Source organism: Homo sapiens, chromosome 5, assembly GCF_000001405.40.
Source record: "Homo sapiens chromosome 5, GRCh38.p14 Primary Assembly".
Taxonomy (NCBI): Eukaryota; Metazoa; Chordata; class Mammalia; order Primates; family Hominidae; genus Homo; species Homo sapiens.
Genome location: NC_000005.10, coordinates 66,828,746 through 66,842,483, shown reverse-complemented (window position 1 = coordinate 66,842,483; position 13,738 = coordinate 66,828,746). Strand labels below are relative to the sequence as shown.

Genomic DNA, 13,738 nt, shown 5'->3' with positions numbered 1-13,738 from the left:
GCAGTGTACAACAACATTTGGCGGGGCGGGAGGGGGTAGGGGAAGGAGCCACACACAAAAATCAGGAGGTGGAAAGCCAACACATCAAAACATTTTTCCAGGCAGAAAGGTAAAAAGGTGTTTGGCAAATTTTGTCCATTTAAAACAAAAGCATTTTAGATGCCTTCTCTGCTACATTGATTAATAGAGACATGCTATACATGAGGTCCCCTGTGATTCCACACCCTACCCTATTCACCATGCCCTCTAATGCTGAATCTCTACTAATTTGCATTTTGTAATTCTGCAATCAAAAGCCTTTACTGGTTCCACATTAGCAACTCCTTGCCATTTATAAATCCCCTTATTCCAAAGAGTTACTGTTTTAAAGCCCACAGAAGCAAAAGGATTGTACAATAAACACACAAGTACTATTTGAATGACCTTATTAATATATCATGCCTTCCTAATTGCAGCACTTTTGTTCCTTCAATTCCTGCCTTCCACAGTCTTTCTTATTTCATTGTAATGTAAACAGGGATTGCTAGAAACCAAGAATTAAGTCAAAAGTACAAGGCCTTACGTATGGCTCATAATACAAACTCAAAAACTAGGCATGGAAAACTCAGCTTAAAGAAATGAGTAAATAAGAGAATGCAGGAATATATGAATTGTGAACATAATAAAGCTATTTTTATTAAGTACCCATTTGCCTCGCCAGAGCTAGCCCTGTGGTATGAATGTGTGTATCCCCCTCCCCAAAGTTCATATGTTGATGCCCTAATCCACAAAGTGATGGTATTAACATTTAGAGATGGGGCCTTTGGGAGGTAATTAGGATTAAATTCGGTTATGAAGGTGGGGCCCTCATGATGGGATTAATGCCCTTATTAAAAACAGAAAAGACATGAGATTTCTTCTCACCATATAGCAAGAAGGCAACTGTCTGCAAACCAGGAAGAGAGCCCTCCCCAGAAACCAAATCTGCTGGCACCTTGATTTTAGACTTCTGAGTCTCCAGAACTGTGGGCAACAAATGTCTGCTGTTCACACCACACAGTCTATGCCATTTTGTTAGAGCAGCCAGAACTGACTAAGACAGTTAGATATTTGCCTACCATTGGTAGAGTCATTGTAATAATCCTGTCAGGTAATTTTTAGTATCTTCATATTACAGAAAATGAATCTAAGCCTCAGAAAAGTTTTAACCTGCTCCAGAGTCACAAATGTAGAATTTGGGAAAGCCATATGATGCAAGGGAAGGAGAAGAGGAGGCTCAGCTGTCTACAAATACAACAGTAACAGCAGCCACAACTTATTAGGAACTTGTGGTGTTTTTACTTTCTGCTTCACACTGCTTTAAGTAATTTACATGCACACATCTTATTTAGTTTTACCACATTCCTGGGAGGTAAGTAATATATCTTATTGATGGCAAAATAAAGCTTAGAAGAAAACAGCATGCCCAAGAAAATAAAGCCAATAAGTGGTGGGCCAACATTCAAACAGAAATTTAATAGACTTCAGTGCTTCCAGTAGTGTGCTTCAGTGCTCTTAACCACAACATATGCTTGTCCCCCATATTAGTCATCTTTGTCATCATAAAGCTGGGTAACAACTCATTACGAAACTTAGTGGCTTATTCTCACATTTGTAGGTCTAGAGGGAGAATGTGGGTCTGTTGGTCTTGACTCCAGGCTACAGGTTCACGTAGGTCAGCTCCACAGAGGTTTGTTCTGGGACCCAGAGTAAACAGGCAGTAGCTACCCTGGGTATATTCTTCTCAAGATAGATGACCAAAGCACAAGACTTTGAACCTGCAGAAGCATATTTTAAGCCTCTGCTCATGATACATCCACTAATAGCTCATTGGCCAATGAACAGTCACATGGCTGAGCCCAGAGTCAAGAGGTGGAGGGCAGGCTCTGCCTATCATGAGGCCAAGCAAGGAATGAATGTACATGTCTATTACAGGAAGTAAAAAATTTAAGGATTGAATCTATCACACTACCCAAGTTTGATTCATAGTAACCATATTGTCTCTTAGCTTGATTGCTAAACAGAAATGGAAAATGAATCTGTGAGCTTAACAATCTATATTTGGAATATAGTTTTAAAGAAAAAATAGAGTCAAATCAATCTTGAATCAATATAATTCAATCTTTACCTTCATTCACAACGATGCTAAAATTGAGAAAACAGGTAATTAAAAAAGATAAAACAATCACTATCTCATCATGAAAAATGTTAAGATAAAAATATAAAATGAAATATTTCTAGACCTAGCTTCTAAATTTTAGCACAAAGCTAAAAAATTTTCATTTTAAAATTTCCAATTAGAAAATATTTAATGTTTTCTCTCATCATTTTGAGCTAGTTGTTACAGATTCTACGTCTGACTTCCTACCACTTTCCTGAGGAGTGCATATTCTCAACATACTAAACTACTAGGCCAAAGCTCAAAAAAAAAGTGAAGCTAGTAAAATTAAGCTTGTATTCTCATTTGTTGCCCAAGAACGCGTCAGTTTAAAAAAAAAAATTGTCAATATGATGCAATGGCTTTGTGAACACACACACACACACATGCACAAAGAAACTGGAAACAGAGTGCAAGAAAACTGATAAAAATGTACATGTCATGTGTTTTTCTTAGTTGAACACCCATCTTCAATTACAGATACTCCATTCAAATGGAACAAAAATCTTGGCTGAATTTGATGTAATCTCACTCTTTTAAATTCACTCACTGTTCAAGTAATACAGTACACCAACCTCATCATCTTCATTTAAAAATAAATTGCTTTTTCCATTACAGCCTCTAGTTTGAGATGTTTCATTCTGCCTTTCAAAAACTGTATTGGAATGAGACTTGTAGGCAAGTTGTCAAAGTTGGAAGCAATTTGGGGAAAAAAAAAACCTACACATCTTCAAAGCTGGACATATTATTTTCAAGGCCTGATACTAAACCACAGAACTACTTTGTGCACCATGTAATTTTAACCATTCCTGCAAAATAAGTGTTAAAATACACATTATGGTACAATTCTGGAAAACCATTCTAACAGAAATCTATGAGTCTGGGAGAAATTGCATTTTCTCTTTATTCACAGTCTAGTTCAATTAATTATTATAGTTGGTAACTTTACAGTCTCTCTCCAGGCTTGAGCTCTCTTTAGAAGTTTAAAACTACATATCCAACTGCTTACTGAACATCTGCACCTAGATGGCTTCCACAGGTACTTCAAACTCAAGATTCACAGAACGAACTAATTCTCTTCTCAGCATCCAAGTCACATTTATCTCTTGCTCTTGTTTCTAATCCCTAACTCCTGAAACCATAAGGTCACCTCAAGCTTCTTCCATCTCTCTTTTGCCAACCATCAACAGGTCACCATGTCCTGTTAATTCTACCTTCAGTTGCCTTTCTCCATTTCACTGTCACCACCTCGGTCCAGCAGCATCATCTACCACCTCCTCATTTCTAAATTCCTAGCTGTTTATCTTACTTCTTTTCTTGGCCTCTTCCTAAGCATTCTTCATTAATAGTTGACAGAATAGTTCACAGTTGATAAAATATTTCTATGCCCTGATTACAGTCTTTCAATGGCTTCCTATTGCTAGACTATGAGGCCCAAATCCCTGAACACAGACAGCATCATTCTTGAGACTCTGCTAAACACTTCCTGCTTCCCACATGCACTATTTGCAATTCCTTGAAAAAGATGCACCCTGTTCAGCCACCACACCTTGCACACACTGTTGCTTCCTCCGCCTAGAATCCTCATCTTGCCTAATCAGTACCTGTTCATCCTTCACCATCCGGCAGAAATATCTCCACCTCCATGAAGGCTTCCCGGCTTCCTTCCGCAGAGCAGGGCACCATGCTCAAGGCCCCTGTATCTTGACTGATGATAGTTGTAGCATTTGCTATTTCAGAAACTGTTGTCTGTCTCACCTACCATAACAGAAACCCTTCACAGGTCAGTGTCATATTCCACTCATTTTTGTACTGCTAGAGTCTAAGATAAAAGTACAATAGGGTAAGTTTAAGACACAGCACACAGTTCTCTGACACAAACAGTTCAATATATGCTATTATTATCATTAAACATTTATTGAAAGAAAAGCAAAGAATGGGGTTCTGTCCTTGACTGCCTCATCAAAAAAGCACATACATTCACAATCTAAATAAAATAGCCAATGTTTTGAGAGCTCAAACATGTACATTATTGAAGAGTATCTAAGATAAAGGTTTCCAAATCACAGGCATTATTGTCTCTAGCATTAGGAAAACATTTTAAGGGACAAAGCAACTGTCTCATCATGCCCTGGAGGTGGTTTTCTAATGGAAACCATGGAGCATGTCCAGCAATTTTAAAAACATAAAACTGCACCTGGACACTACCAGTGCCATGGGTCCCTTAGAGGTAATGGTCTAGAGCTGCCTCCAGCTACCCCACTATGATAATTGCCCCCCAAGGCAGATTGGTTAATGGTTTGAGCTCTCATGTTACTATCATTGTTGTTATTTGGAAGCTCAACAAACAAATATGGTGAGTATATCCACCTTCCAAACACCTCCACATTAAAAAAAAAAAAAAAAAAAAAAATATATATATATATATATATATATATATATAAAATCAAGTCTCACTTGAGACTTGATAGAAAGGAGACCAAAGCACTGACATACATTTTAAAGGCTGTCAAACCTTACATTTGGATATTGAGAAGTTGTAGGTTTGATGATCTGGGAGTTACCTGGACCCCTAGTCCCCTAAGAGCAGTGGGTTTCAACTCTGGCTGCACACCACTGAGAGATGCTAATTGAATTGCTGTGATTGTATCTAGACTATAGGCTTTAGGAAGCTTTCCAGGTGGTTCAATAGGGCAGCCAGCTACAGGTGAACCACGTCCTAAGGGTTAGAGACATGCACCAAATTAAAGTTGATTTATCTTGCTTAATTCCAAAAGACAGCACAAAATAGAAAAGAGCCTTGAAGGACCTTTCATTGATGGTGCTAAATACTACATAAAGGCTTTTCTTAGACAATGAAGGAAAGCAAAGTTAAAAACAGGCACCCAAAACCCACTTATTTAACTAATTATAAAGTAAAACATGCTTACTGTTGGATGGTTCAAAGAAAAATTTATATCCCACTAAGATATAATGAATATTAACATTTTAGTACATTTTCATGTTATTTTAGATGATAATGATGAAGAAAAAGAAAATACGTTCTCAACGTTAACTACAATACATATTTTTAAGCTTTCCATACCTCATTTGAATTCATACTCAGCAACTCTGCTAAAATTAAGTGCTAGTGTTTTATTGGTGAGGAATTAAATAGCCTAGCCAACATCAGGCAGTAAGAGGTAGAGACAATGTTAACATTCAAAAGCTCATGAATGCTCTTTCCTTCTATCCCACTAGGCTACAGTATACATACACACACACACACACACACACACACACATGATCCTGCATGGTCTTTTACCCAGACACATGTATGTATGTCTATGTATCTGTGTATGATGCACATTTTATTTGCTTTTTTAACTTTTATTTTAGGTTCTGGGGTACATGTGGTTTCTTTTACAGGTAAATTGTGTGTTATGAGAGTTTAGTGTACAGATTCTTCCATAACCCAGGTAATAAGCATAGCACCCCCTATGTCATTTTTTTGTCCTCACCCTCCTCCCAACCTCAAGTAGGTTCTGGTGTCTTAAGTTCCCTTCTTTTTGTCCACGGGTACTCAGTGTTTAGCTCCCATTTCAAAGTGAGAACATGCAGTATTTGGTTTTCTGTTCCTTTGTTAGTATGCTTAGGATAACAGCCTCCAGGTCCATCCATGTTGCTGCAAAGGACATGATCTCATTCATTTTTACAGCTGTGCAGTATTCCATATTGTATATGTACCACATTTTCTTTATCCAGTCTACCATTGATGGGCATTTAGGTTGATTCCATGTCATTGCTATCATAAATAGCACTACAATGAACACATGCGTGCATGTGTTTCATAATAGAACAATTTATACTCCTTTGGATACATCCCAAATAATGGAATTGCTGGGTCAAATGGTAGTTCTATTTTAAATTCTTAGAGAAACTGCCAAACTGCTTTCCACAGTGGCCGAACTAATTTATGTTCCCACCCACAGTGTATAAGCATTGCCTTTTCTCTGCACCTCACCAACATATAATGCATATTTTAAATGATCTGTACATACATTACATAGACAGCCTGCTCTTTTTTTCACTTGACACTATTTTCAGCTTTTCCCCATATCATTAAATACTTGTCAAAAGCATGATTTTTTTTTTTTCCAGACAGGGTCTCACTTTGTCACCAAGGCTGGAGTGCAGTGGCACGAACACAGCTCACTGCAGCTTCAACCTCCCAGGCTCAAGCAATCCTCTGGCGTCAGTCTCCCAGGTACTTGGGACTACAGGTGCACACCACCACATCTGGCTAATTTTTGTATTTTTTTATAGAGACAAGTTTTCACTATGTTGCTCAGGCTGATCTCGAACTTCTGGGCTCAAGCAATCCGCCCACCTCGGCCTCCCAAAATGTTGGGATTACAGGTGTGAGCCACTGCACCCATCCCAAAAGCATGATTTTAATGGCAATGAAGGCAATTTTGTGTTAAGTTTCTTGACGACTCTGAATCTCCATGTCCACATCTGTAAAATGGCTTTGATTGCTTCCAAAAACTAAAAAGTAATTTCTAAGACACTTTAAAAAGCTCTATGGTTACATATAATTTATTTGAAATATAAGTTTCAAGTAAATTCAAACATCTTATTTAGTTACGCTCTAGTGCTAACAACAAAATGATTGGTGGTTGCATGCATATTGATCTTAAGTTCATGTAATTCTCAATTTTTATAGTTTATCTAGTTTATTGATTAGCTGGGCTTTCAGTCTCCTTTGTCTTTTGTCATTCTTTCAAATAATTTTATTGTTTTAAATGCAATATCAAAAATTTTGGGTCATCGTGAGAAATCTTTTGAGGCAACTTTTTTTTTATATAATAAATAAAACCACACTACTCGTAAAAAGGGACCATAAGATTAACAATGAAGTGGTGGCTAATTTTATCTAGAAAGCTATTGCAACTGAGCATGAAACTCAGGTCTGGACAGCTAAGGCAAGAATGGAAAGACACAGGATAGGTCACAGCTCTCATTATGTGATTAAAAGAAGTAAACTGGTTCACCTAGAGAGGGAGAAATTTTTTAGTGCTGAATTCTAAGCTAATTTATTATGTGGGCCTAATATAAGAGACAGGGCACAACATAATGGATGAGACTTCAAAGGGAGATTTACAAAAAGCACAAAGATGTTTTCTCACAGTCATTCCTTTTAGCAACACTCAATAAAAGCCAAGGACATAATGTGAAGTTGTAATTCTGTAAGGGGTTTCAAGGGGAGCAGAGATGGGTGGTGTAGGTGCATTGCATTCCGGTGATAGCACCTGCTGTAGGGCAGACCCCTGGGAATCCAGGAGATAAATGGTAAGAGGTCTCCTGGGCTATTCCTCTCACACATCACTCCTCTGAGCCAAGCTATCACAGGATCTGTAGAGCAGAGCAATTTAAAATTGAGACTACTTGCACGACCTGCAGCACAGGTATCCTGCATTATTGATTCAAAGGAGCGCCATGTGCTTCAGATACTAAAATGGAAGGCGATGAACTAACATTTTCCCATGAGGATTAAGAGTCTGATTGGAGAGTCAGTCTATGTTATCTCACACAACAGTGGGCAATGGCTGGGGGCCATGGCTTTTCATGAAAAGCAGCTTAGAATCTGTTCAAATTCCTGAACTGTTCAGGCCCCAGTGATGTAGGCCATGAACACCTGAACACTGACTTTGGCTTGCAAAATGCTAAGAGTAAGGGGCAGCCTGGCATGTGTTCCTTATAAACCATGTTAGGTGTACTTCATTTGCCCATCTGGAACTACTCTCCACCCCATGCTGGGCCCCGGAGTCTGGCCTGCATGGACAACATCCATGGGCTCCCTTTCCCTCTGGTGTCTAAGCTGGCTTCTGCTAATGGGGAGCACAACAAGAGTTCAGAAAATAAGGTTGAGATACCTCCTGGTACCTCCCTGCAGATATGACTGGCTGTGTCCTTTTACCTAAGGTCACAGGTCCTGTCTCACGTCTTCGCGTCTCCGGGTTCTATAACTGTTCCCTCTCTCACCCCTTTAGGCCTAGAGGTGGTAATGGCTCCCTGTCACTTCTAGCTCCTGGTACTGCAACATCCCTTAAATTTTCCCAATTCCTGCTCATCCTTTTTACAACAAACCCTCTATTAAGTTCTTCTCAAATTATCTAAGACATGTACGCCATCTTTTCATTGCCTGGACCCTGCCTGATACCCGTATTTAATTACTTAAAATTGCTGTGCAAGTCTTAGTGGTGACAGAGGGAAGACAGCTAAGATTAACTAAGTACAATGTGCCAGGCACTGTGCTAAAAGATTTGTAATCTCCTTCAATCTTTAAATGCCTCATTTAGTTATCTCCATTTTACAGACGTGGACATGGGAGATTCAGAGTGGTCAAGAAACTTAACACAAGTTACAGAGCTATTCAATGTCACTGAACACATATCTGACTCCAAAACCAGTAATCCTCAATGGTTTTATAGTTTCAGTGTAACATACTCCTACATGAAATAATTTTAAATTATTTAAAATAATGCATGTTATAGGATTAGATTGCAAACAAATAAAATCATGACTATTAGCAAGTTCAGAACAGAATGCAGTGAATATAGAAAATTTCATGAAAATTAAAATTCACATTAATCTCTAATAAGCAGAAGAATGTGTGCAAAATAAAGAAAGGATATTGTAGGTAAACGGGATACATGCAGTTTGGAGGTTCCAAACACTGGGAGAACAGGTTATGAAACAGGAATCTGGAAGGCAAAGATTTAGAGATGAGACCTGAAAGCAAGACTGTGGCTAAACTCACAGTATGCATTTTTAGCCTACCCTGGAGTAGATCAGGAAAAGTCATAGGAGGATCTTACACCAGGGCAGTGATATGGACTCTGGGCTAAAAAGCAGGATGAATAGGAGATGGGTCTGGGTTCAGTGGGGTACCAGACATTTCCAAAATCCAGGTGTGCAAGAAGTTAGGCCTAGCCTCTAGACATACTTTGATGGTAGAATTGACAGGGTTTGGTGACAGGAGTCAAGAGATGGAGAAATCAAAGGTGGGAACTAGAATGACTTGGAGAATTGCTGTTTCACTGACCAAAATACAGAGATGACAACGTTGTGGTTTATTAACAATTACACCAGAGAGCCAAAAGGTGCAAAAGAGGAGCTAGTAAACAAATTTGTTTATTTTACAGTTAAAATCCACTCTTAGAGTATAAAATAGAATTTTTTCTGAACACAAGATTTTGAGGACATGCCATTTTTATCCCCTAAGGATCAGGAAATAGAAACTACAGTACTATATCTATTTCAGAGGCAGAAATTGAACTCCTCCAATGGGTAAGAAACACCACTCGGATATGGCATTGATTTGTCTAATAAACTAAGGACCCACAACTGCAAAAAGTTCATTTGCCATCTGGATACTTCCTGTCCCAAAGAAGTCTCAATGTCTTTCTGGAATTGCTGAAGAACAAAAGTGCTTTATCCCAAAGATGAATTAATATTATCATAAATGTTTCTATTATAATCTTCCAACTAGACTTCTTCCCTATAGCCAGTCAGAGTCTTCAAATGAATATAGACAGAGTAATACTCCCATGTAATGATCCTACTATTGAATTTCAGGTAAAGTGTAAACATACCCATAATTATATTAAGGTTGAGACAGAAGAAACATTGAGACATTGTGACTTGAATATACATTCATGCACCATGAGACAGAGGCAGATTGATGCTCAGTTAGAACATAAGAATCTATCTGCTATTTTGCTTCCTAAAATTGAATTCTAGACCAAGGCCAGCGGAAAATCAGAGCCTAGGCCAGCGTAAGAATGTTATCTTTTTGTTGTTGTTTTAAATAAGGTGGGAAGGGCAGGGGACAGGGGTGGGGGGTGTGCAGTCGGGTTTAGAAGAAAGAGAAGCAAACCAAACAAAAAAAAACCTAAACACACTCACAGATCTAGAAGTCTAAACAATAAACATTTCATTGCTTTTCGTTGATGTTTAACTGCATCATAGAGGAAATTTGGGGAAAACATTTTTTCACATTCTAGCTGCACGTGAGAGTCTGGAAGTGGATGGAAATGGTAATATTTAATTGGGGGGCGTGTGTGGGGAGGTGATCATGAGAAGATGATGCCAGGCAGAGCAAAGCACCAGAGGATGGCAGGAAAGGCATCGTCAGCCGCTCTGGGATGCCCCTCTCTTTTAGTAAGTCATGCCTGCCTTACGATGCCTATTGTTCATTGTTCTCCAGCCTTAGGATCTATCACATTAGGGATAGGGATACTTTCATTAAAACAAATAAAGAGAAACATATAACAGAAATCACTGAAACAATTAATTTCCCTGACAGTTAAAAAATATGATCCACGTATGAGGAATATTAGGCCCAAAAGGAACCAGTTATCCCTTGATGAATTAGACCTGTCTAGAAATTCAAATTGCCCAAAGTACAAGGTCGGCCCAAGCCCATCCATCCATCAGAATTTCCTATGTTTTGAGATGCAATCTGAAAAGTTTTCTAGATTCTAACACTAGAAACCACTGGGGCTGCTTTCTCTCATTCTCATTTCAAAGGCAGTGATTGAAGTGCTATCAGTAGTACTGGAAATATGAATACAGTCCATAGAAAAGATGGAAAAGTGCAGTCACTTAAGATGAACAACTCAGTTGTGCTGCCATTTTATGAGCTTGTCATGATTTGAGAAATTATATGTTCTGACTGAAAATAATTTTTCAAAGTCCAAATTTTAAAAACACCACTAATAGTCTCGTGTTTTAAAAACTAGAGGTACTGAACTTTTTAAAATTGGTCCTAAATACATACTGCATCATTTTATACTAAACACATAATACATTATTGTAAAATTAGATTTGAGAATTAGAATAGTGTATACTCCAGATTTTTGACACTGGGCTTTAAGTTAAAGAGCTGGTTTGTCTCACATACTATGTATCTATTCAATGCACAGATGCTTTTAAAAATAATGTAAACTCCCCTATATTAGCCTGTCATAATGATCCCTGTAAATAAATGTTTACTAGGTTTACTGATAACTGTTCTAACTTAAGGACAAATTCAGACAACAAACATGGTGTATAAATACAACAAGTTCATTTCATAAGCAATGATATGGAATGTTATAGAGAATAGAAATCATCCCTTGGTTTTCAACAATATTTATTGGGTTCCTCCTAGATGCTAGTACATTTATTATATGACCCTTAACTTTAAAGAACTCAACTCTACCCATCTACTTATTTAGTACACTCAAAAGTCATATATTACAGTATGCATTTTACAGAATAATACACAGACACCAAGAGGGTGTGTCAGGATTACCTCACAACACAGGATTGGAGCCAGGAATAGAGATATGCAGGTTTCAGCCTAGCTTTACTAACACAGGTATACCTCATTGGCAGGTTCAAATGTTCCACATAGCTATCTATATTTGTAAATTAATTTTATTCTTAAATTCACTAGGTGGCGTTACTCTTATGAACTCTACAGTGACATGTGTGGTAATACAAATACATAAAGTGTGTATTCTGTAAATAGTTTCCCTACAGTGGAATTTCTAAAAACAGCTACTCTATGTAATGTCTTTCTTTAAATGTTAGATGCAATGGGAGTAAAAGCAAAATAGGTTTTGTATTAAGCCACAGTAAAGTTGTAACCATGAAGTGGCAGAACTTTCAAGCACTTTTATGTTGTTATTTTTCACAGCATGAAGACTTATCTCATCCAGAAGAGAAAATATTCCTTATCCATTATACAGAGGACGGCAGGTGTAGAAAAAGTATATTAAGTACAATAAAAACCTAGCACTCTAATAATATATTAGCAAGTATTCCTTTGTTTTGTAGCAAATATTTTAAATAGAAAATAGCTCCATTATTTTAATTAATGAAAAATAATGATTCCTTTATTTCTAAAATTAAAGGCCCATGAAAACCATGCCCCTCACAAGCACTATATGCTTCAACTATCTCCTCTGAAGTTGTGATAACAGACATATTACAGAAATAACAAAAACTTAAAAAAGGAATTTCTTCTGAAAAACATTTTCAGATCATTTAAAATGAATTAAAGGAAAGAGAAAACTCACAGAAGAATTACTATCCAGTCACTAATAATCTGAACTATTCAGAGTTTAACAGAGTTAATCATCTTTTTAACAAAGAGCCTTTCCATATTTAACAACTGACCCCAAAGAGGACGTGGACACAAACAGCTGTGCATTACCAGAACTTTATAGAGGTGATGAAAACAAAGAAAAGGAAATCCACAGCAGTGACTAACCACACTGTGCATTCAAAAACAATGACCACACTGAAATTCATTAAGGAGGTAGTCTGTTTACTTAGGTTTGAACAATAGATGGTATGTAACCCCAACTTCTCTAATCCCTCTTTTGTTTAGCTGCAAATAATCCTTTCGTTGCCTATATTAATATTATAGTAATATGAATATTAGTATTAATAATTGATACTTAGAACAAAAAGCAGACAGCTAGACCAGCTGAAATTCAAAGACTTAATATTAAGGAAACATTTCTAAATGTGCTGTATATTCTGTATTCCAAGCATTTTTTTTAATATCAAAATAATATATAAGAGTTTAACAATGGCTAATGATTAGATTCTTTCACAAAGAAAAATATCACTTATATACAGGACAAAGAGTTATGCAGGAGTTAACCATACTAATGTTGAACATACTTATGTTCTGGCTTCCTTAAACTTATAAACTGCCAAGCAGATGTTTTGTTGTTGTTGTTTTTTCCAAGTTTTCTGATTTGCCAAGTTTTAACTCAGAATGTATTTGTACAATAAAGTCAGAGTAATTTCATCAGAGAAACTTGGGTACAAAAAAGCAAGGCAGTGAGTTACATATCTTTTCTCATCTCAACATAAACAAATTACAGCAAACTTTGAGCTGCCAGCAAAAACTTTCATTTCACTGACGGGGAAAATTCCCAGCAGCTGCACACAACTGCAAGGCGATCAGACAGATGCCGCCGAGCGGAGGTTGATCCCGACACAAAACTGAGTCCTGCGTTCCCAGAATTGAAAGGAGTTGCTACCCCTCGACAGACTTCCCAGACACTTGACGGCATGCCAGATCAGTGCATCAGCTGTCACTGCCAGCCACAATTTAACTATTCTTGAATAACCAGTAGAAAAACAAACCACCAAAGTGTCAAACTAAAAGTCATATCTATTGTCTCTGACAAAAGCAGCTTCCTCACTGAACCCTGTGATGTGTCATACCTGTAACCAGAAACTCCGTATAGCGTTGCCATGTAGATACTAAGAATTATGCACATATTCGTGCCCAGTAAAGGAATGACAAGGGAACTTTGAAATCCTCAATGGCTGGCCACTGACAATGCTACATGTCAAGAATGGAGCAGTCTCCTACCTGGAGCCCTCTTCGTCTTAGAATGCTGGACTCATCCATCTCACCCTCTGCTTTCTCTGAGCCTCTCACAACAGTCTAGCCATGCTGTACTACCTCTACTTCAGCACGCTAATTCAGAGCCCGGCAGCTGCTAAACA

General features: G+C 37.8%; 1 protein-coding gene across 15 annotated transcripts in view, besides 3 other annotated features; it reads right to left on the bottom strand.

Annotated features, from left to right (window-relative positions):
• MAST4 (microtubule associated serine/threonine kinase family member 4) overlaps window positions 1–13,738 on the bottom strand; it is a 573,201-nt gene that overhangs the window by 327,110 nt on the left and 232,353 nt on the right. For 4 of the 15 annotated variants that reach the window (NM_015183.3, NM_001393526.1, XM_017009450.2 and 1 more), the window contains exon 1: window positions 13,602–13,711. The exons of the other annotated variants lie outside the window; for them this stretch is intronic. In NM_015183.3, the coding sequence (NP_055998.1) occupies window positions 13,602–13,640 (39 nt within the window). In that variant the 5' untranslated portion in view covers window positions 13,641–13,711. Of the gene's footprint in view, window positions 1–13,601; window positions 13,712–13,738 lie in introns of those variants that run through there. 15 annotated transcript variants of the gene reach the window in all.
• Window positions 231–732: an enhancer, noted in NCBI's record as "NANOG hESC enhancer chr5:66137580-66138081 (GRCh37/hg19 assembly coordinates)". NCBI's record gives its function as "activates a minimal SCP1, AML or CMV promoter by ChIP-STARR-seq in naive H9 embryonic stem cells {active_cell/tissue: H9 hESC(naive)}" and the evidence as "EXISTENCE:reporter gene assay evidence [ECO:0000049][PMID:30033119]".
• Window positions 1,412–1,461: a silencer, noted in NCBI's record as "silent region_16068". NCBI's record gives its function as "represses an Ori minimal core promoter by ATAC-STARR-seq in GM12878 lymphoblastoid cells {active_cell/tissue: GM12878}" and the evidence as "EXISTENCE:reporter gene assay evidence [ECO:0000049][PMID:35858748]".
• Window positions 12,252–12,753: an enhancer, noted in NCBI's record as "NANOG hESC enhancer chr5:66125559-66126060 (GRCh37/hg19 assembly coordinates)". NCBI's record gives its function as "activates a minimal SCP1, AML or CMV promoter by ChIP-STARR-seq in naive H9 embryonic stem cells {active_cell/tissue: H9 hESC(naive)}" and the evidence as "EXISTENCE:reporter gene assay evidence [ECO:0000049][PMID:30033119]".